The sequence below is a fragment of the Homo sapiens genome, chromosome 2 (assembly GCF_000001405.40).
Source record: "Homo sapiens chromosome 2, GRCh38.p14 Primary Assembly".
Taxonomy (NCBI): Eukaryota; Metazoa; Chordata; class Mammalia; order Primates; family Hominidae; genus Homo; species Homo sapiens.
This window is the reverse complement of record NC_000002.12, coordinates 151,562,329-151,582,883: the sequence shown is the minus strand read 5'-3', so window position 1 is coordinate 151,582,883 and position 20,555 is coordinate 151,562,329. Positions and strand designations below refer to the sequence as shown.

General features: G+C 39.8%; 1 protein-coding gene across 47 annotated transcripts in view; it reads left to right on the top strand.

The window, feature by feature from the left end:
- Positions 1 to 20,555, top strand: part of NEB (nebulin) — a 249,138-nt gene that overhangs the window by 151,593 nt on the left and 76,990 nt on the right. For 46 of the 47 annotated variants that reach the window (XM_011511227.3, XM_011511226.3, XM_005246613.3 and 43 more), the window contains 19 exons: positions 217 to 420; positions 1,297 to 1,401; positions 1,980 to 2,087; positions 3,235 to 3,546; positions 6,530 to 6,733; positions 7,085 to 7,189; positions 12,283 to 12,387; positions 12,492 to 12,803; positions 13,512 to 13,616; positions 14,168 to 14,266; positions 14,467 to 14,568; positions 14,706 to 14,813; positions 15,405 to 15,716; positions 17,064 to 17,168; positions 17,279 to 17,383; positions 17,736 to 17,840; positions 18,954 to 19,061; positions 19,165 to 19,278; positions 20,076 to 20,273. In XM_011511227.3, the coding sequence (XP_011509529.1) occupies positions 217 to 420; positions 1,297 to 1,401; positions 1,980 to 2,087; positions 3,235 to 3,546; positions 6,530 to 6,733; positions 7,085 to 7,189; positions 12,283 to 12,387; positions 12,492 to 12,803; positions 13,512 to 13,616; positions 14,168 to 14,266; positions 14,467 to 14,568; positions 14,706 to 14,813; positions 15,405 to 15,716; positions 17,064 to 17,168; positions 17,279 to 17,383; positions 17,736 to 17,840; positions 18,954 to 19,061; positions 19,165 to 19,278; positions 20,076 to 20,273 (2,916 nt within the window). The remainder of the gene's footprint in view (positions 1 to 216; positions 421 to 1,296; positions 1,402 to 1,979; positions 2,088 to 3,234; positions 3,547 to 6,529; positions 6,734 to 7,084; positions 7,190 to 12,282; positions 12,388 to 12,491; positions 12,804 to 13,511; positions 13,617 to 14,167; positions 14,267 to 14,466; positions 14,569 to 14,705; positions 14,814 to 15,404; positions 15,717 to 17,063; positions 17,169 to 17,278; positions 17,384 to 17,735; positions 17,841 to 18,953; positions 19,062 to 19,164; positions 19,279 to 20,075; positions 20,274 to 20,555) is intronic. The other variant, NM_004543.5, reaches the window with a different exon arrangement.

The window sequence follows — 20,555 nt, the reverse complement described above, 5'->3', positions numbered from 1 at the left end:
TTGTGAGCCCTGTTCCAATTCCTGCAGGATACTCTAAACTTCTCCCATGTGTGCCAGAGAGATAACACCCAATATTAACATTTAATGTTGATCCTTGAGTTTTATGAGATTAGCCACCTAACTGATTTAAACAGAGGTGATGTGTGGTTTGCAAGCATCAAACTCTTATGGGCAACTTTGACTCTTCCCCACTCTGTGTTCCTCTCCTTCATGTAGAACTTGTACAAGTCAGACCTGGAATGGCTGAAGGGTATTGGATGGTTGCCAGAGGGTTCTGTGGAAGTGATGAGAGTGAAGAATGCCCAGAATCTCTTGAATGAAAGGCTGTATCGTATAAAGCCTGAGGCCCTCAAATTCACCAGCATTGTTGACACCCCGGAAGTAATCCAGGCAAAGATCAATGCTGTACAGATCAGTGAGGTAAGTCCAGGTGGATGATGTTTTCAGACAAATGGAAGAAATCTGAATCCAGAAGAATTTTAAACGTGAACTTTAGACTCTTCATGTCAGCGTCAGGATCTGAAACACGTTTGCATGTATCCAGATGGATCTTTGTGTAGTCAGTCTCTTAGCAGCCTCTGGATTTCATTTGCTTTGATAAGTGTTTGGTCAATGCACATGTGGTGGGCATCTTCATGTTCTACACACCCTGATACACACTTTGATCACATTTGGAGATCCAGACCATAATATAGGCCCACCACTTAGTACTATAATCACAAAATTGCCACTTCTTTATTGCTTGAAATAGGTTGAGAAGTCTAGGGACAACTTCAATGTTAGACATTATGGTAGTTATTTGGACCAAAAACAGCTAGGTCCTGCTCAGCAATGGGAATTATCAGAGCTATCTGCAATGTGGACTTACCCATCTGATAATTAGATGTGAGTAAATGGAAAAGAATAATTTTACTACCATATTTCTGACTCATTTTAAATTATGTTGTATCACACATAAATGTGTTCTTATTGAAGTCACTATTGGCACCTTTTAAATAAAAGTGCAAAGGAGGCAAGGTGCAGTGGCTTATGCTATGTATAATCTACGTTTATATCGGAGAACATCCAAAAAGAACTTTTCATTTTGCTTATTATTTAATATAAAATTAGATTTACCTATTAATCTTACTTAAAAATTTTAATTTACTTATGTTAGTTTTAATTTATTATAAAATTCACTTAAAATTTTTTTCATCATCCATTTATTCAAGTATGTTTTATGACTTTATAATTTTATTTATGTGGTAATTGACTTATTTACTAATTGACCATTCCATCGTTTTTCATTTTTCCCAGCCATTGTATCGCGATGCCTGGGAGAAAGAGAAGGCTAATGTGAACGTGCCAGCTGACACTCCCCTGATGCTGCAATCCAAAATCAATGCCCTGCAGATCAGCAATGTAAGACAGCACACATCATTTGCTTTTCACAGTGCTCTCTGCCTAACCAAACCTTTTATTATACACCCCAAAGAGAGTTTGTCAAAAGGCATTTTCTTCCCATTCCTTTTATTTCTAGTCTTTAAGTTAATGATAAGTAGCTGTGTGGGTCTGCGTGTGTCTGTATAATGTACATCTCAATATTTGTTGGAAGGAAAAATGGAATGGTTTCTCCAAAAACACAACATAAAACTTATAGATACACGTAGAGTAATACCTAGTTCTCAGGTTTTGGTGGGCCATCCATCATTGCTTTTTCCTTGTAAAAGCCAAGCAATATGTTTTTTTCTGATTTTTACATGATTTATTATCTCCTAAGTTTCCTTCTTCAAAAAATAATTATTGGGAGAGAGCTTTACTAAATGTCATTAAAAATCTACTGGAATTCAAGCTCAATATGAAACCAGACTCTTTCATAAATCTTAAGGAGACATTAATGTTCAGTGTAACTGTAAATATCTATTTTTAAATACATCAGTAATGCTGACTCAGTAGCTCCCTCTTCAGACTGACTGTGGCATTGCACTCTCTGTTTGCAGAAACGCTATCAGCAAGCTTGGGAAGATGTCAAGATGACTGGTTATGACCTGCGAGCAGATGCCATTGGGATCCAGCATGCCAAGGCTTCCAGGGATATTGCCAGTGACGTAAGAGCTCCTCCTTCCCAACCGGAACAAACACTAACTAGTAGAAATAGAGGGAGTTTAACTTAATGCCCTTTGAATTATATTTAAATGGAATTGGGTCATTGTTATTAGTATATTTGTAAATCCTAAATTCAAGAACAACTCTTACAATCTGAGGATCCTTTTGCATCTATGTTTGGTTCTGCAACTCTTGCGTTTAAGCACAGATTTTGATTTTCTTTTCAATATCTTCACAATGTCACTTAATTTACAAGTACTTAAAGAGATTTAATTTCATAGTACAGAGAATTCTGTTGTTACTCAAAGTGTGGCGTGTATACTACCGGTGTTTCCTATAATAATTTTATGTAGTACATGCACAAGTATTTTTTTAAAATAGTTATATGGTTGTTTTAATGTGTGCTAGAAATACACTGTTTTTTTCCACGTAGATAGGGTTATACATTTTTAAATAAAATTTTAAAATAAGTTTATAATTAAAAATTATTTCAGGCAAGGCATGGTGGCTCATGCCTGTAATCCCAGCATTTTGGGAGGCCAAGGCGGGTGGATCACTTGAGGTCAGGAGTTCGAGACCAGCCTGGCCAACACGGTGAAACCCTGTCTCTACTAAAAATACAAAAATTAGCTGGGCATGGTGGCGGATGCCTGTAATCCCAGCTACTGGGGAGGCAGAGGCAGGAGAATCACTTGAACCCAGGAGGTGGAGATTGCAAGTGAGCCGAGATCGTGCTACTGCACTCTAGCCTGGGGAGCAGAGCGAGACTCTGTCTCAAAAAAAAAAAAAAAAAAAAGAAAAGAAAAGTAAAATAAAAAAAATTTCAACAAAGAATTAATTTGATTTAAAGTAATAAGAAGTACAACTGGTACTTGTGTGTGACAAAACATCTGAAGGTGGCCAGGCTATATTGGGAGATAATCCAGCAACACAGTTCTTGCCTAAGAGATGCTCTCAATGTTTTCATGCATGTAGACACAGAAGACAAACCAATGTATCAAAACTTATGGCTTGAATTTAAATAAAAACAGTATTCCCCGACCCCCCCAAAAAAGGTAAACTAAGGGAGATGGAGTTAGTTTGAGTAGGCTCTCTAGAAAAAGTGGGTTTGGAAAAATTACTCTTCTATTTTCTGTTCACATCTACCAGTATCTGTACAAAACTGCTTATGAGAAACAGAAAGGCCATTACATTGGCTGTCGCAGCGCCAAGGAAGACCCTAAACTGGTTTGGGCAGCAAATGTGTTGAAGATGCAGAATGACAGGCTGTACAAAAAGGCCTACAACGACCACAAAGCCAAGATCTCCATCCCTGTGGACATGGTGTCCATCAGCGCTGCCAAAGAAGGTCAGGCACTGGCAAGTGATGTGGACTATCGCCATTACCTGCACCGCTGGTCTTGCTTTCCCGACCAGAATGATGTGATCCAAGCCAGGAAAGCCTACGACCTACAGAGCGACGTAAGTGTGTCGCCCAGGAAACAAGTCCCCCATTGCTTTGCCTGATGGCTCCTTCCAATGCTCTGAAAACACAACTCTCTGTACGTAGGCACTCCACTTTATTATTATTTTATCAGAATTATTAATTGCCTACCTACAGCCAGGTTTCTTCAGAAAGTTTTCATTGTTAAAGGTGCTACCAGAATTTTCCTATAGATTTGTTAATGTGTACAGTGTTTCCAGTTTCTTACTTTTTTTTTTTTTTTTTTTTTTTTTTTGAGATGGAGTCTTGCTCTGTCACCCAGGCTGGAGTGCAGTGGTGCAATCTCAGCCCACTGCAACCTCCGCCTCCCAGGTTCAAGCGATGTTCCTGCATCAGCCTCCCAAGTAGCTGGGATTACAGGCATGTGCACCACACCCAGCTGATTTTTGTATTTTTATTAGAGACAGGTCTTTGCCATCTTGGCCAGGCTGGTTTTGAACTCCTGACCGCAGGTGATCCACCCGTCTCAGCCTTCCAAAGTTCTGGGATTACAGAAGTGAGCCACCATGCCCAGCCTTGCCCGCCCTTCCTTCCTTCCTTCCTTCATTCCTTCCTTCGTTCCTTCCTTCTCTCCTTCCTTCCTTCCTTCCCTCCTTCCTTCCTTCCTTCCCTCCTTCTCTCCTTCCTTCCTTCCTTCCCTCCTTCCCTCCTTGTCTCTTTCCCTCCTTCCCTCCTTCCCTTGCCCTGTGGCCCTGGCTGGAGTCTCAGCTCACTGCAACCTCTGCCTCCCGGGTTCAAGCGATTCTTCTGCCTCAGCCTCCCAAGTAGCTGGGATTACAAGCACATGCCACCACAGTCGGCTGATTTTTTTATTTTTTAGTAGAGGCAGGGTTTCATCATGTTGGCCAGGCTGGTCTCAAACCCCTGACCTCAGGTGATCCACCTGCCTTGGCCTCCCAAAGTGCTGGGGCAGTTTCTTAAACAGAAGAATGTCCATGGTCCTTCAGCTATGAATCAAAGAAGGGCAGGACCATCTTCCTCAAACTTAATTTGAAAAGTTAGCAGCACACTCCAGACCACTTGTTTCCTTTTACTTGACGTTCTTCACAATGTGGTCTTTCATTAACTCACCTAAGGCATTTTTAGATTTACTCGTATTTTCCGCCCTTCAAACTTTTGGAAATGATGGATTACAGAAGGTTATTTATTTCCTGTATAGAATGGATAACTTAAAAATTATCTGACCTTGGTTCCCTTAAGCTTCCAGAGGTACTTTTTTATAATGAATGAGTTCATTACAGGAAAGCATGCTCATCACTTAAAATGCATTGCCAAGTGGTATATTTAAGACAGTTTCTGGAGACCAAAATTGTGGAAGTAGTGATCGAATTCTTAATCATCCTTTTAAAAATACTTATTAAACACACCATGTGCCAGGCATTGTGCTAAGCACTAAAGATACCATGGTGAATAAAGAAGAAGAAAAAACATGACATAGGCTGGGCGCTGTGGCTCACACCTGTAATCTCAGCACTTTGGGGAGGCTGAGGTGGGTGGATCACAAGGTCCAGAATTTCAAGATCAGCCTGACCAACATGGTGAAACCCTGTCTTTACTAAAAACACAAAAATTAGCCTGGCGTGGTGGCATGTGCCTGTAATCCCAGCTACACAGGAGGCTGAGGCAGGAGAATCGTTTGAACCTAGGAGGCAGAGGTTGCAGTGAGCCGAGATTGCCACTGCACTCCAGCCTGGGTGGCAGAGTGAGACTCCGTCTCAAAGGCAAACAAAAAACATGACAGCTCCTGACTTTAGGGAGTTCACATTGATAACCGAGACCTAGATGTTCATTAAAGAATAAAAATGGAATGGCTGAGAGTGATCCATGGTGCTATGAAGAGAGATCGAGAAAGTTCTTCTGAGAAGGCACTGATTTTACAGAGATATGAAGGAAGAATAGAAGTTGGGTTGGTTAGGAGGACATGGGGCATTCCTTCAGGGTGACCAACATGTGCAAAGAGGGCTGATGAGACTACGAATTGAAAGACAGGCTGTGTGATCAGGACACACAGGGCCAATGGAAGTACAGATGACACGAGGCTGGAAGAATAGGTGGGGACTGGTGCCAGACCATTCATCCCTTCTAGTCTGTGTCAGGGATTTTGATGTTTATCCTATGACCGATGGGAAGCCATAGGATGGGGGAATGTTGTGACATCGGATTTGAATTCTGAATTTTGAAAAGATCATTCTGGCTGCTGTGTAGAGAACTTACTAGAAAGCCCATTATTGTTGCTTTAAAGTCTGCATTGGTAATGGTATGATGATAACCTAAATATTATTCAGAAGTCTTCCATGCAGTCCCTCAAATGGAGAGCTGCTTCTGCATCACTTTGCCTTTTAGAATGCACATGGGCACTACCACACAGACCCTTGCCACAGAAAACCAAGCAAAATGAAATGCCATTGTGCATTTGAGGAATTATGTTTGTCAGGCTAGTGCTCTGTTTTAATTATTGTTTGTGGAAGATAAAATAAAAGAGGCCTGGCGTAGTGGCTCATGCCTGTAATCCCAGCATTTTGGGAGGCCAAGGTGGGTGGATCACCTGAGGTCAGGGGTTTGAGACCAGCCTGGCTAGCATGGTGAAACTCCGTCTCTACTAAAAAAAATACAAAAATTAGACAGGCATCATGGCACGTGCCTGTAGTCTCAACTACTCGGGAGGCTGAGGCAGGAGAATTGCTTGAACTTGGAAAGGGGAGTTTGTAGTGAGCTGAGATTGTGCCATTGCACTCCAGCCTGGGTGACAGAATGAGACTCTGTCTCAAAAAAAAAAAAAAAAAAAAAAAAAAAAAAAAATATATATATATATATATATATATATATATATGTATTTATGTTATATATATTTTATGTTGTATATATAATATATACACACACAACATAAAAACTGTCCTTATTTTACCACACACATACACAACAAAACACAAACCCTGCTTCTACCTGTGTTTTCTTTTTCAGGCCCTCTACAAGGCTGACTTGGAGTGGTTGCGTGGCATTGGCTGGATGCCCCAAGGGTCTCCTGAAGTGTTGAGAGTCAAAAACGCCCAGAATATCTTTTGTGACAGTGTCTATCGGACGCCTGTGGTGAACCTTAAGTACACAAGCATTGTTGACACACCTGAAGTGGTCCTTGCTAAATCAAATGCTGAAAATATTAGTATTGTGAGTTAGTTTTTCTCTATTAAAATTGAATTAATGCCATAAATAGATGAGAAAGAATAAACCTGGTCATTTATTTTAGAATAATAAAAACTTTATTAATAACAAAAATTTTATTAAGTAATACAGTATTGTCTTGGTTTGCTTATTAATTTTAAGCAAAAACTCTAATAAAAGGGAATAATACAGATTTTATATCAAATTTGAGTAACTTACGTGAAAAGATTCCAGAAATCTTTGCCCTAACATGAAAGGGTTTTGGATCAAATCCAAAAGAAAATTTAAAAGTTGCATAGTGGGACTAGCAACATGAAAATTGTGAAGTAATTTTATTATTTTTGTTTCTTTCCACAGCCAAAGTACAGAGAGGTTTGGGACAAGGATAAAACTTCAATACACATAATGCCAGATACTCCAGAAATTAATCTCGCTAGAGCAAATGCTCTTAATGTGAGCAATGTAAGTACTACAACAGACTCTCTTTTTGTTTGGAAAGTTACCCAGTCAGGGCTATACTATGAGCATGGAAGGGAGGGAAGATGGACTCGGTCCCTGACTTCCCGCAACAGGGGAAGACTCCTTGTGGTCACCCCTTGACTAGGAGTGAGGCAAGGAGGAGATCCCTGGTGATTCACTGGGCAAGGCCAGTTACTGGTGAGTCAATATCTCCACAACAAAAGTCTCTTTAGTTGTCCTTTTTGAATAAGGGGACAAAGAAGGTGAAAGACGAATGAAGAGATGCACAAACAAGAAAAGAGAATTAACGATAGACTCAGATAGACTCAAAATAATTATGAGAAGTCTTTGTAAAAATATATGAATTAATTTTAAAACATGGACCTCGGGGGGTTTTCTAGAAAATCATAAGTGACCAAAATTGACCCAAGGAGAAAAAACCAAAAAACATACAGCAAGAAATTAAGAGGTTTCTTAATTAAGAAATTAAGGAGAACATTTAAACACTTTTCTTCCTACTTTCAAGTGTCAGGGTCCCCTTGATTATTTCAAAACTTCAATAAATAAATAAATTACCAGGAGCCTAGTAAAAGAAGGAAATCCATTGCAATTACCAAAACTTTTCAAAGATAGTGTCACAAATTAAAAACTATAGACCAGCTGGGCATGGTGGCTCATGCCTATAATCCCAGTACTTTGGGAGGTCAAGGCCAGAGGATTGCTTGAGCCCAGGAGTTCAAGACTAGTCTGGGCAACATAGGGAGACCCCATCTCTGCAAGAAAATAAAAAATAAATAAATTAGTTGGGCAAAGTGAGGTGCACCTGTGGCCCAAGTTACTTGGGAGGCTCAGGTGGGAGGATCACTTGAGCCCAGGAGGAAGAGGCTGCAGTGAGCCATAATCATGCCACTGCAGTCCAGCCTGGGTGACAGGGCAAGACCCTGTCTCAAATAAATAAATAAATAAATAAATAAAATTTAAACTGTAGACCAATAATGGGGGGAATCTTAAATATTAATAAATCAAATTCAGCATTACATTAAAATGATAAGATATAATCAACTGGGGTTCATGCAGGAATGCCAAGAGGGCCCCATAGTCAGAGACCTAATAGTGCCATAGAACAAGAAGAAAAGGCTCATTTTATTAGATTTACATGGCATCTGACAAAATCCAATACCCATTCTTATTTTTTAAAAATAAAATCTTAGTTAAGAAAGAATAAATGAATATTTTCTCAACATGACTGAAAAATAAATCTCAAATCAAAGGCCAACTCATCCTCAGTGACCAAACTTCTCATTCATATCAGGATTAAAATGAGGGTGCCCCTAATATCATCATTATTTAACATTTGCTGGAAGTATTGGCTAAGTGAGTGAGATTCTCATTGATGCTAATATAATTACTCAAGAGTAAGAACATGCCTGGCGCGATGGCTCACGCCTGTAATCCCAGCACTTTGGGAGGCCAAGGCAGGCGAATCACGAGGTCAGGAGATCGAGACCATCCTGCCTAACACGGTGAAACCCTGTCTCTACTAAAAATACAAAAAATTAGCTGGGCGTGGTGGTGGGTGCCTGTAGTCCCAGCTACTCAGGAGACTGAGGCAGGAGAATGGCGTGAAACCCAGGAGGCGGAGCTAGCAGTAAGCCGAGATCACGCCACTGTACTCCAGCGTGGGCGACAGAGCGAGACTCTGTCTTAAAAAACAAACAAACAAACAAAAAAGAGTAAGAACAGAAGATAAATATTGGAAAGAAAGAGGCCAAATTATCATTATTTGCAGAAGAAGTCATTTTAAGTCTTAAAAAAGAGAATCAACTGAGGAAAAAAAAAACTATTTGTGAGTACAAGATAATCCAGTTACGTGGCTGGCTACACAATTCAAGAAAGTTCAAGGAAGATACCATTTTCATGGATCGCAGAAATTACTTGTGTGTAGAATAGTATGACCTCAGAAGAAGAAGGATACTACCTTAGTGCAATTTGCCAAGGCTTGAAACTTTGCATGCTTTCAAAAGAATAATATGTCTTTGTGAGAGAAGGAGGCTGCCAGCAAAGATTCCTCACCATGTGCCAAACAGCTCTATAAGTTCTGGTATAATGAGCCACTTGGGGACTAATGTTTTCCAGTGTTTAAGAAGAAAATATAATTTTAGGGCGCTGATGTATTTTCTCTTTTGGACCAGATATCAATATCATGGTGCAGCGCATTCTTGTCAAGAGGCTGAATCAAGGGGTAGTCAGTTCTTCACTGCAGTATAGACGCCTCTTCCCACTCAATCCATAGGCATCTGTGGCAGGAGAATTCTGGAAAGTCACATATGCTCTCTTTTGCATGATAAATTTCTCAGCTGAAAACACCAGAACCTTACCATTGATATTATATGAACAAGACTAATATTCAAAATTATGCTAAAAGTAAAATTATTAACTTTATTAAGATATTAATGAGAATGACTTCCATTTTGGAAGAAATCAAACACCCCATTTGAATGCTAACCAAACTATACAGCATTTTCTTTACAAGTGTATCACCATTACTGTAATCTTGATTAAACCCACAATTTAAAACTGCTGCCGTTATTTAGAAAGCACAACTTTAGCAGAATATTTGTATGTGATTTTATGGGTAACAAAGCAAATTCACGTTAAAGTGACTCATGTAATCTTCATGCTCACTACATTGAGTAAGATATTGTTATTTTGTTTTTATCAGATGGTAAATTGAGATTTTTAAAAGTTAAGAAATTTTCCCATGTTCTCAAAGTTAGTAGCTGAAAACATTGGGTCTCAGGCCCCGGGCTTTTTTTTTTTTTTTTTAGTTAAAAATATATACATACTTGGCTGGGCATGGTGGCTCATGCCTGTAATCCCAGCACTTTGGGAGGCTGAGGAGGGTGGATCACTTGAGGCCAGAGTTCGAGACCAGCCTGGCCAACGTGATGAATGAAACCCCATCTCTACTAAAAATACAAAAAATAGCCAGGCATAGTGGTGGCTCACCTGTAATCCCAGCTACTTGGGTGGCTGAGGCACAAGAATCGTTTGAACCTAGGAGGCAGAGGTTGCAGTGAGCTGAGATCGTGCCACTTCACTCCAGCTTGGGTGACAGAGCGAGACTCTGTCAAAAAAAAAAAAGTATATATATATATACTTTTATATATATATTTTATATATATATATAAATATTCAATATATATAAATATTCAATATATATATTCAATCTCATAAAAAGCATTACATAAGAAATAGTGTGAAAATGTGCATAATAAAATAGAATGAAAACAAAAAGTAAAAAGATAACATAATACACGTTTGCATTAACTATTTTGTAGTTTAATTAATTAATTACTTTATTTATTTATTTTTTGAGAGGGAGTCTTGCTCTGTCACCCAGGCTGGAGTACAGTGGCGTGATCTCAGCTTGCTGAAACTTCTGCCTCCCGGGTTCAAGCGATGCTCCTGCCTCAGCATCTCTAGTAGCTGGGATTACAGGTGTGTGCCACCACACCCAGCTAATTTGTGTATTTTTAATAGAGACAAGGTTTCACCATGTTGGCTAGGCTGGTCTCAAACTCCTGACTTCAAGTGATCCACCTGCCTCGGCCTCCCAAAGTGCTGGGATTATAGGCGTAAGCCACTGCACCCAGCCCTTCTTGTACATTTTAATATGGAGAATATTTTTTCTTCTGTACAGAAAACAAGTCAGTTGTCAAAATAGGCCTACTCAAAATTTATACAAAAGCTTGATTGAAAATTCATATAAAACCTGTCCATGCTTACAAGGATAAAATTTGAGCACTCATTTTTCAGACATGCAAAAGCTACAAAACTGTCACTAATTAAAATCCACTTCTTTCTGTGCTGTAGAAGATCCCCTACTGATAGGTATGATTTGTGAATTATATGTTTAAATTACTATTATTTCCGAGTCTCTCTGTTATTTGTTAATACACAATGTATCCATTAAAATATGAACATATATTTACATACATTTTTAAAATACTTGTAAATCAGTCACTACTTTAGTTAACTTCTCTTTACAACCAAAAAAATAGCTGTGACATCCAATCATGCTTCAGCGGAAGATCTAACATTACCAAATGATATGGATCATTAATCATATAAGATCAAAAAAGCCATATTGAAAAAAACCCACAAATGTAACAAGTTTACAATTCTGAAGGTTACAAAACTGAATTGAATTAGAGATAAATAAATTGAATTATTGCATTAAAGAAATTCAATAACCCATTAATGTCTAAAGTTATCTCAATGTTACCAATACACCAACACAAGAAAACAAAGCCAAACCCTTTTTATGAACGAGATTATAAAGCATGAGCAACTACTTCAAGGCTATCATTCAAATTTAAAATTTATTGTACATTTGAAAACAACTGAAAGAATATTATTGGAGCACTTTGGGAGGCCGAGGCAGGTGGATCACCTGAGGGTCAGGAGTTTGAGACCAGCCTGACCAACATGGAGAAACCCTGTCTCTACTAAAAATACAAAATTAGCTGGGCCTGGTGGCGCATGCCTGTAATCCCAGCTACTCGGGAGGCTGAGGAAGGAGAATGGCTTGAGCCTGGGAGGCAGAGTTTGGGGTGAGCCGAGATGGTGCCATTGCCCTCCAGCCTGGGCAACAAGAGCGAAACTCCGTCTCAAAAAAAAAGAAAAAGAGTATAATTGGAATGTTTATGACACAGACATGATAAATGCTTGAGGTGGTGGATACCCAGTTATCCTCATGTGACTATTACCCATTGTATGCCTATATTAAAATATCTCATGCACCCTATAAATATGTATATACCTACTATGTACCCATAAAAATAAAATATAAAACATTAAAAATAATAAAAACAAAAGAAAGGAGATTGTCAAGCCCAGACCTTTGGACTCCAGACACCATTACATGTTCCAGGACAATGGTGCATAGAATGATTCTCATCTATGCTCTTCTTTAACTGCTCTCAAGTCCTTGGGCTTCAAAACTGTGCCCCTGTGGTATTAATTCCACCTGAGCCATTGAAGGTATTGGCAAATTTGAATCTAGGATGATACCTTATTTTTCTCCTTTTCAGAAACTTTACCGTGAGGGCTGGGATGAAATGAAGGCGGGCTGTGATGTCCGGCTGGATGCCATCCCCATCCAGGCTGCCAAGGCCTCCAGGGAGATTGCCAGTGACGTGAGTGGCCTTTTTTAACTTCTCAGTTTTTTTTTTTCAGCCGATGCCCTAGGTGCATCAAGAGGACATGCTGTGACCCATCTGCTTTATTTTTGCATCTCCAGTATAAATATAAGCTTGACCATGAGAAGCAGAAGGGACACTACGTGGGCACCCTCACAGCCAGGGATGACAACAAGATCCGCTGGGCCCTCATAGCTGACAAGCTCCAGAATGAACGAGAGTACCGGCTGGACTGGGCCAAATGGAAGGCCAAGATCCAGAGCCCTGTGGACATGCTTTCCATCCTGCACTCTAAAAATTCCCAGGCTCTGGTCAGTGACATGGATTACCGCAATTACCTGCACCAGTGGACCTGCATGCCCGACCAGAACGATGTGATTCAGGCCAAGAAGGCCTACGAACTGCAGAGCGATGTGAGTGGGCTGCATTTGGGGTTGAACTCTTTTCTCAGTTTGCCATGACTTCCAGAGAGTTTATGACACTAACCCCTTCTGTCATCATTTTACGACTTCATATCACCAAGAATTTAATATTAGTGAGACCTTATAGTATGGTATCAAAATCACCAAATCCAAGAAGGACCTGGACTTTATATCAAGAAATAAATGGTAGTATGAATACAGGTCTTAATTGTATCAGATTAAAGAAAACTGTGAAAATATTCTTTCTATAGAATTTAGATAGCAATAGAGGCTTATATCCAGTAAAATATTGGCAGCCCATGGACAGGATGTAGGCACAGACATGCTTTTTTAATTGATACAGTGTTTAGAAATTTTGAATTAAGTTGCCAAGATTTTAAAATCCAAAAATTTTTGTGTACAAATGTCGGATTTCCCATTTCTCTTGGAAATTCAGAGGACACAGCTCTGAATTATCCCTTAGTAACAATAACCAGAATGGAATCAAGGATAACCCCCTTTAAATAAAAATATATGCTATCGTTTGTCACACTGCCTGGCCGCCTAATTAATTTTCTTACATTACCTGCGTGGCTGCTTGAGTATGTCCTCCTTGGCTTATATAGCATTTACATTGTATTTCTTCATGAGACCAATGGATAGGCTAACTAGGACCACATGACCAGGGTTGCTGAACTCATTCTGGCCCTGTTTTCACAGAATGTTTACAAGGCTGACTTGGAATGGTTGCGTGGAATTGGGTGGATGCCAAATGACTCCGTGTCCGTCAATCATGCCAAACATGCCGCGGACATCTTCAGTGAGGTATTCCAAGATTTTACCCTGACATTCAGTACATTTCCCAAGAAAGTGACAAAATGCACAAGCTAAAATATAGTCATCTAATATCAGCAATCTTAACCATTTCAATTGCTGTGATTTAAACTGAGCATATATATTTTTCAAAATGTACTGTCGCTATCACATTATGGGACCACATCCATAATATAATATCCAGCACACTCACTGATGCTTGGCATTGTATAAATGGAAAAATCTTTTTGTCAGCAATAGCAATATACTTGGGAAAAGTTTGTTTCGTTGGAAAAATGTGCATTACAGTACACATAATGATACATTATATAACTTTGAGAGCTAAGCAAACTTCCTACTTTAAAATCTGTGGGAGGCATAAGAAGCTGATGCATTTGTTTAAAAAATAAAATGCTAAAAAGAAAGCCAAATTCCCAAGAAGACGCTATTCAAATACGGCACTGTATGTTTCTAGTAGAGAAGGACTCTAAATTTAGTGTATCTTCTCAGTTCACACATGTCTAGGAATTACAACTATCTAAAAGATGCTTTCTTTCCCATAGAAAAAATATCGCACAAAAATAGAAACTCTCAACTTTACGCCTGTGGATGACAGAGTTGATTATGTGACAGCGAAACAAAGTGGCGAGATCCTCGATGATGTAAGTATATGGCTGTTTTAAAATCTCACAGTGATGCAGATATCACTTCCAAAGCTTTTCCATCTACTTACACTCAGAATGCAATCATCTGAAATACAGATTTTAATCATTGAAATGATGGATGCTAACAATTGCTTGGACAACATGATGCTTTCTTAACAAGTAACTTGCCCCCTTGCCTCTCATTTTTTTTTTTTTAGATTAAATACCGGAAAGACTGGAATGCCACCAAATCAAAGTACACCCTCACAGAAACCCCCCTGCTGCACACTGCCCAGGAGGCTGCTAGGATACTGGACCAGGTATGGGTTTCACCCACATGCCTGGTGTTTGTGTACGAGTGGAGGGCCTTAATGGAACTGTAGGATAATTATGCACACAACTTACCCCTCCCTTCTGACTCCTCATTTTAACCCTTTATGGTGGCTCTGTCTTTCAGTATCTCTACAAGGAAGGCTGGGAGAGACAAAAAGCCACAGGTTACATTTTGCCTCCAGATGCTGTGCCATTTGTTCATGCCCATCACTGCAATGACGTTCAGAGTGAGGTAATACATCCTGATGGGAGTGCATTTTGCAAAAGTGGGACCTTGCTCCCAGGGATTCCAGTTATGCCAAAGGCAGAGATAGCACCTTCCAGGTGTTCAGTTTCAGTGTGGCAGACCTGGCCAGGCTTGGTGATGGTTGGAGTACCTGCTCACTTTTCGGTCTTTCTTCCATGGGCTTTGAGCTTTCTTGTTTCTTCACCCGCCCACCACCCCCCTTGGCTTTTTTAAAAGCAATTGTTCAAATTCTTTACTTTTTCTTATATTCTCTGCCCTCCCTAAAATCTTTAGGCCTTTGAATAAAAATATTGCCAGAATCAGAGAACAAGTATATATTTTTTCTCTATTTTTATTTTTTAAATTTTATTTTTATCATTTTTAGGGCTATCTCAGCAGAATATTTTTCTATTTTTAAATGGGTGTTTCTTCATATGGATTTATTTCAATGCTTTTTATTATTTGCTCTCAGAGTTGGGGGTGTCAAACAAAAAGCTGGGGGGCTGAATTTGCTGATATCCCTTAGTAGATGATCAAGCCCCCTCTGCCTTGTGTGCTTGTCAAAACTGATGGAATTTATATTCCTCTTCTCGCCAGCTGAAATACAAAGCTGAACATGTGAAGCAAAAAGGTCATTATGTTGGTGTCCCGACGATGAGAGATGATCCTAAGCTGGTTTGGTTTGAGCATGCAGGCCAGATTCAGAATGAGAGACTATACAAAGAGGACTATCACAAAACAAAGGCCAAAATCAATATACCTGCTGATATGGTGTCAGTCTTGGCCGCCAAGCAGGGGCAGACCCTTGTCAGTGATATTGATTATCGTAATTACTTGCACCAATGGATGTGTCATCCTGACCAGAACGATGTTATTCAGGCAAGAAAGGCCTATGACCTACAGAGTGATGTAAGTGATTTTTGTTTCTTCATTATCTAGAAACGCATGGTACACTCTGAGAATGATGAGCAACATCCCAGATCCACAAGTGCTTGAAATTTGAGGCCATCGATATTTAATTTGTTCCCAAAGGGAATTGAGGCTGGATATGAAGAAAGATCAGGAGCAGTGATGGATTGATTGGTTTGCCTACTGACTGCATTTCTGAGTAACTTTCAATCAAATTTTTTTAAAAAAAATCTGCTGCTTTTGTACCATTTTGGCCATCAGCAACTCCTCACTCACATTCACATAGAAAAGTATCAGCTGATGGAAAATAATAATTGGCTTGGGTGGGAATTGAGAATGAGTTGAGGTTTTGACAATATTAGATGATAGCACAGTTAAAGACCTAAGCATGCCCTATTCCTGCTTTGCCAAGCATCTCATTCCTCACGGCATTTATGAAGTTGTTCGCAAAGCAAAAGAGAAACAAAATACTGATTAAGCTGCATGAGGGCCCAGTATGCCTCATGCAGAGCTTTGGTAAAGCTAGGATAGAGAATAAGACATAACCTACCTCCCACTGAAGCCTGAATCAAGATCTCTACTTGCCACCAGCCTTCTGCATGTGCAGAACAGTAACTGGATGCATCAACTTAGTTGCTTAGGTGCCCAGAGAAGCTAATGCTCCCTGGGTCTTCTCATCATTAACAAAAGGGAACCTGGAAGTCAAAGACTGCTGCAGCATAGATGTTGAACTTGAACATCTGACCTCACTGGTTGCTGCAGCAAAATAGCTGTTGTGGAACTTAAATCAGAATAGCAACTCTTCTTATTTTCATGTCGAGTTGGCTGGGAGAATCTAGGTTCTTGAAGGCGTAAGGGCAAGAATAGGTTTGGCTGGGACCCAGGGGATGCCTCCCCTACCCAATACGTGAATATTTACTTGTGTAGTTTCCCTCATTTAGTCTAAATGCCCCACATACTTCTACGTGACTAAATGTATCAAATCCATCTAAAAGTACAACCTCCTTGGTAAGCCTTTTCTTATGACGATAGCAGAAAATAACAGCCCCTTCCCCTCAACTCCAATAGCATTTGAGCACTCGATCTAACAGCACTTCTTGCTTTATAAATGACTTATCTCAACTCCTAGACTCCTTCTTTATACTTATTCATCAAAACACCAAGCATAGTGCCTCATGCACAGTAACAGCCTCAAGAAATATTGCTCAGGTGAAATCACAATTGAATGAATGAGAAAACTACTAGAGAGAAATCCTTTAAAAGCTTCTGAAAAAATTGTAACCTGCCCTCTGTAAGCCTGTGTCTCAGTCATTTATTCCTCCATTATATCTCTCTTCCTGCTCTCAGAATGTCTACAGAGCTGACCTGGAGTGGCTCCGAGGCATTGGCTGGATCCCACTGGATTCTGTGGACCATGTAAGGGTTACTAAGAACCAGGAAATGATGAGTCAGGTACGCAAAGCCTATTCTCCTTCTAACCTATGCCTGTCCTCCTACCTGCCATGTTGGGGTAGATAACCTGTGGTGGTAGACCTGTCTTAATTGTCTCCGTTTCTTTACAGATCAAATATAAGAAAAATGCCCTTGAAAACTATCCTAACTTTAGAAGTGTGGTGGATCCTCCAGAGATTGTTTTAGCCAAGATTAATTCTGTCAATCAAAGTGATGTAAGTTTGCTTTGTGCATGCTGAAGTGCACAGACTGGGGAGTAAATTGTCTATCATTGGGTGGATTAGCTTAACTTTAGATAATTGCTTGTAAAAAAATTGGGAGGTGGTAAATTCTAAGATCATCTTTGGGGGGTATGTCTTAAAAGTCACTAGCAGGTGGTGAATTGTATTCACTTTTAGATATCTATATTCCTATCCAAATTATTCTATTGTTTTAGCTAAAATGGGCTAAAATTCAACCAGTTGGTTAGTTTTAATCTTTAAACGTGGACTGATTATGTTTCTAGGTAATCTTATAAAAATTTAATATTCATTTATAGTAATAAAAGATTTGGTTTTCTCTCCTTAGGTAAAATATAAAGAAACATTTAATAAAGCAAAGGGCAAATATACGTTTTCACCAGATACACCACATATCTCCCACTCCAAAGACATGGGAAAACTCTACAGTACTGTAAGTTCTCTTTTATGTAATAACCACTCAATTTCTAATTTGAAGCTCTTGTTGCATTCATATTCTTGGCTGATTTTGTCAACTGCTGAACTTATAAGCCAATCTATTATTTATTTTCCCATTGCACTTAGTCTTGTGTATTAGAAGTACCATGTTATTCAAGGCAAATAGCGTTTATTCAGCTGGTGCTTTTGAGCTCCCGTGATGTGCCGGGCTCTTTAGGAGGCAATGAGGGGCTAAAGCTCAATGAGACAAGCCTTCAGGAGATCGTGCAAGTGAGGGGAACAGACTTAAATTGATAGAATAATAATCTAACAAGTGCTCTGGGGGCACATAGCATTGAGCACCTACCAATAGAGAAAAGGGAGGTAAGGTTGGTCCCTCTTTAGTAATCACGCATCAGCATCTCTAGCCAACAAGAGGAGAACTTGCCCTCCAAAATTTCATTCAGCTAATTTAAAGGAGACCAATAGTGTACATGTGTGCACCCAATGGGAAAGAATATTTGCCAGTTCTCTCCCTGTGTGCAAATTTGTTGTCACTTTTACTAGGACCGCAAAAATAGTCAACTCTTATAAAATGCCTAGAGTTGGCTGGGCATGGTGGCTCACGCCTATAATCCCAGCACTTTGGGAGGGTGAGGTTGGTAGATCACCTGAGGTCAGGAGTTAGACCAGCTTGGCCAACACGGTGAAACCCCATCTCTACTAAAAATACAAAAATTAGCCAGGCATAGTGGTGCGTGCGTGTAATCCCAGCTACTCTGGAGGCTGAGACAGGAGAATCTCTTGAACCCAGGAGGTAGAGTTTGCAGTGAGCTTAGATCACGGCACTGCACTCCAGCCTGGGTGATGGAGCAAGATTCTGTCTCAAAAAACATAAAAATAAAATAAAATAAAATAAAATAAAAAATAAAATGCCTCGAGTCTGTAAGTTTAATTTGCAATAAACCAAATAACTGCCCTATTCTAGGTAGATGCACTAATGGCTATAGATAAAGATTTCAGCCTTGCCTTGAACATACATGTTTCACCTTAATTAGACCAATTGTTTTAGTGGTATCTGAAAGAAGTTGAAAGAAAACTTTTGTTGCCATGTATTTCTTTGTTCTAGATACTGTATAAAGGGGCGTGGGAGGGCACCAAGGCCTATGGCTACACCCTGGATGAGCGCTACATTCCCATTGTTGGAGCCAAGCATGCTGATCTGGTGAACAGTGAGGTCAGTATGACCTTTTCCTCTCCTAAGTTTGAGAGTCTTTACTGGGGATCAAGGGGCTGGTTAGGAAACTCCAGCGATTCTCAATGTTTAACCCACTTTACAGCTTAAATACAAAGAGACATATGAGAAGCAGAAAGGTCACTACCTGGCTGGAAAAGTGATCGGTGAATTCCCTGGTGTGGTTCACTGTCTGGATTTCCAAAAGATGAGGAGTGCGGTAAGTAAATGTCCACTTTAACACGGGATTTGTGCCCCATAAGTGTGCTGCCGTGTCTGCCTGTTTATAACTTGCCCTTTGGTTCAGGTTAGCTGGGAAATGGAGTAGCGTAGGGTCCTTCCTGAGATTTTCCTCACCCCTCCAAGTCAGCCTGTGGACTCTTGGTAGCTGTGTGCTTCCTCCCTGCCACTTTCTCCCTGACTATTTAACACTGTGACTGCTTTGTGTTCAGAAAAGGAAAAAGCATCAAGGTCACTATTTACCCTGTGTTATAAAAGGATGGAAAACTTCAGGCCAGGTGAAATGGCTCACACCTGTAATCCCAGCACTTTGGAGGCCAAGGCAGGCAGATCACCAGAGGTCAGGAGTTCGAGACTGGCCTGGCCAACATGGTGAAACCTCATCTCTACTAAAAATACAAAAATTAGCTGGGCGTGGTGGTGCATGCCTGTAATTCTAGTTACTCTGGATGCTGAGGCATGAGAATTATTTGAACCCAGGAGGCAGAGGTTGCAGTGAGTGGAGATCACACCATTGCAATCCAGTCTGGGCAACAGAGTAGGACACCATCTCAAAAAAAAAAAAAAAAAAAAAGATGGGAAATTTCAAAAGAAGAAGAATATATTAAAGTATATAAAGTATATATATATAAAGTATAAAGAATATAATAAAGTATATATTAACCTTAGTTTATTCTAGAGATACTGATCTATATGGGAAATAAGGATCTAAAAGACATTGATCTGAATAATTTACATTTAAACCCCTTTCTTATTTTTGTCTTTAAAACATATTAGTTGAACTACAGAAAACATTATGAGGATACCAAAGCAAATGTTCATATCCCCAATGACATGATGAATCACGTGCTGGCTAAAAGGTGCCAGTACATCCTCAGTGACCTGGAGTATCGACACTATTTCCACCAGTGGACGTCTCTTCTGGAAGAACCCAATGTTATACGCGTCCGAAACGCCCAGGAGATCTTGAGTGATGTATGATGTCCCTTCTGCAGCTTGACTCAGCTACAGCTTCCATGACTGTGTCTTGGCTACCCCCCAACCCTGGCTGCCATGCTCCCGTTGTCCCTGTATTCATAAATCTTGCTGCTTCTCAAAACAAAGTGGCATGAGCCACTTTTTGGTATAAGAATCCACCCTAAGCCATAGGACACATATGTTAAATATTTAATTGGTTTCACAATAGACTCAGACATTGATATTGCTCTCAAGCTTCTTTAGGCTTGGGAATTAAAGACCTTCCAGCTGGTGAGAGGC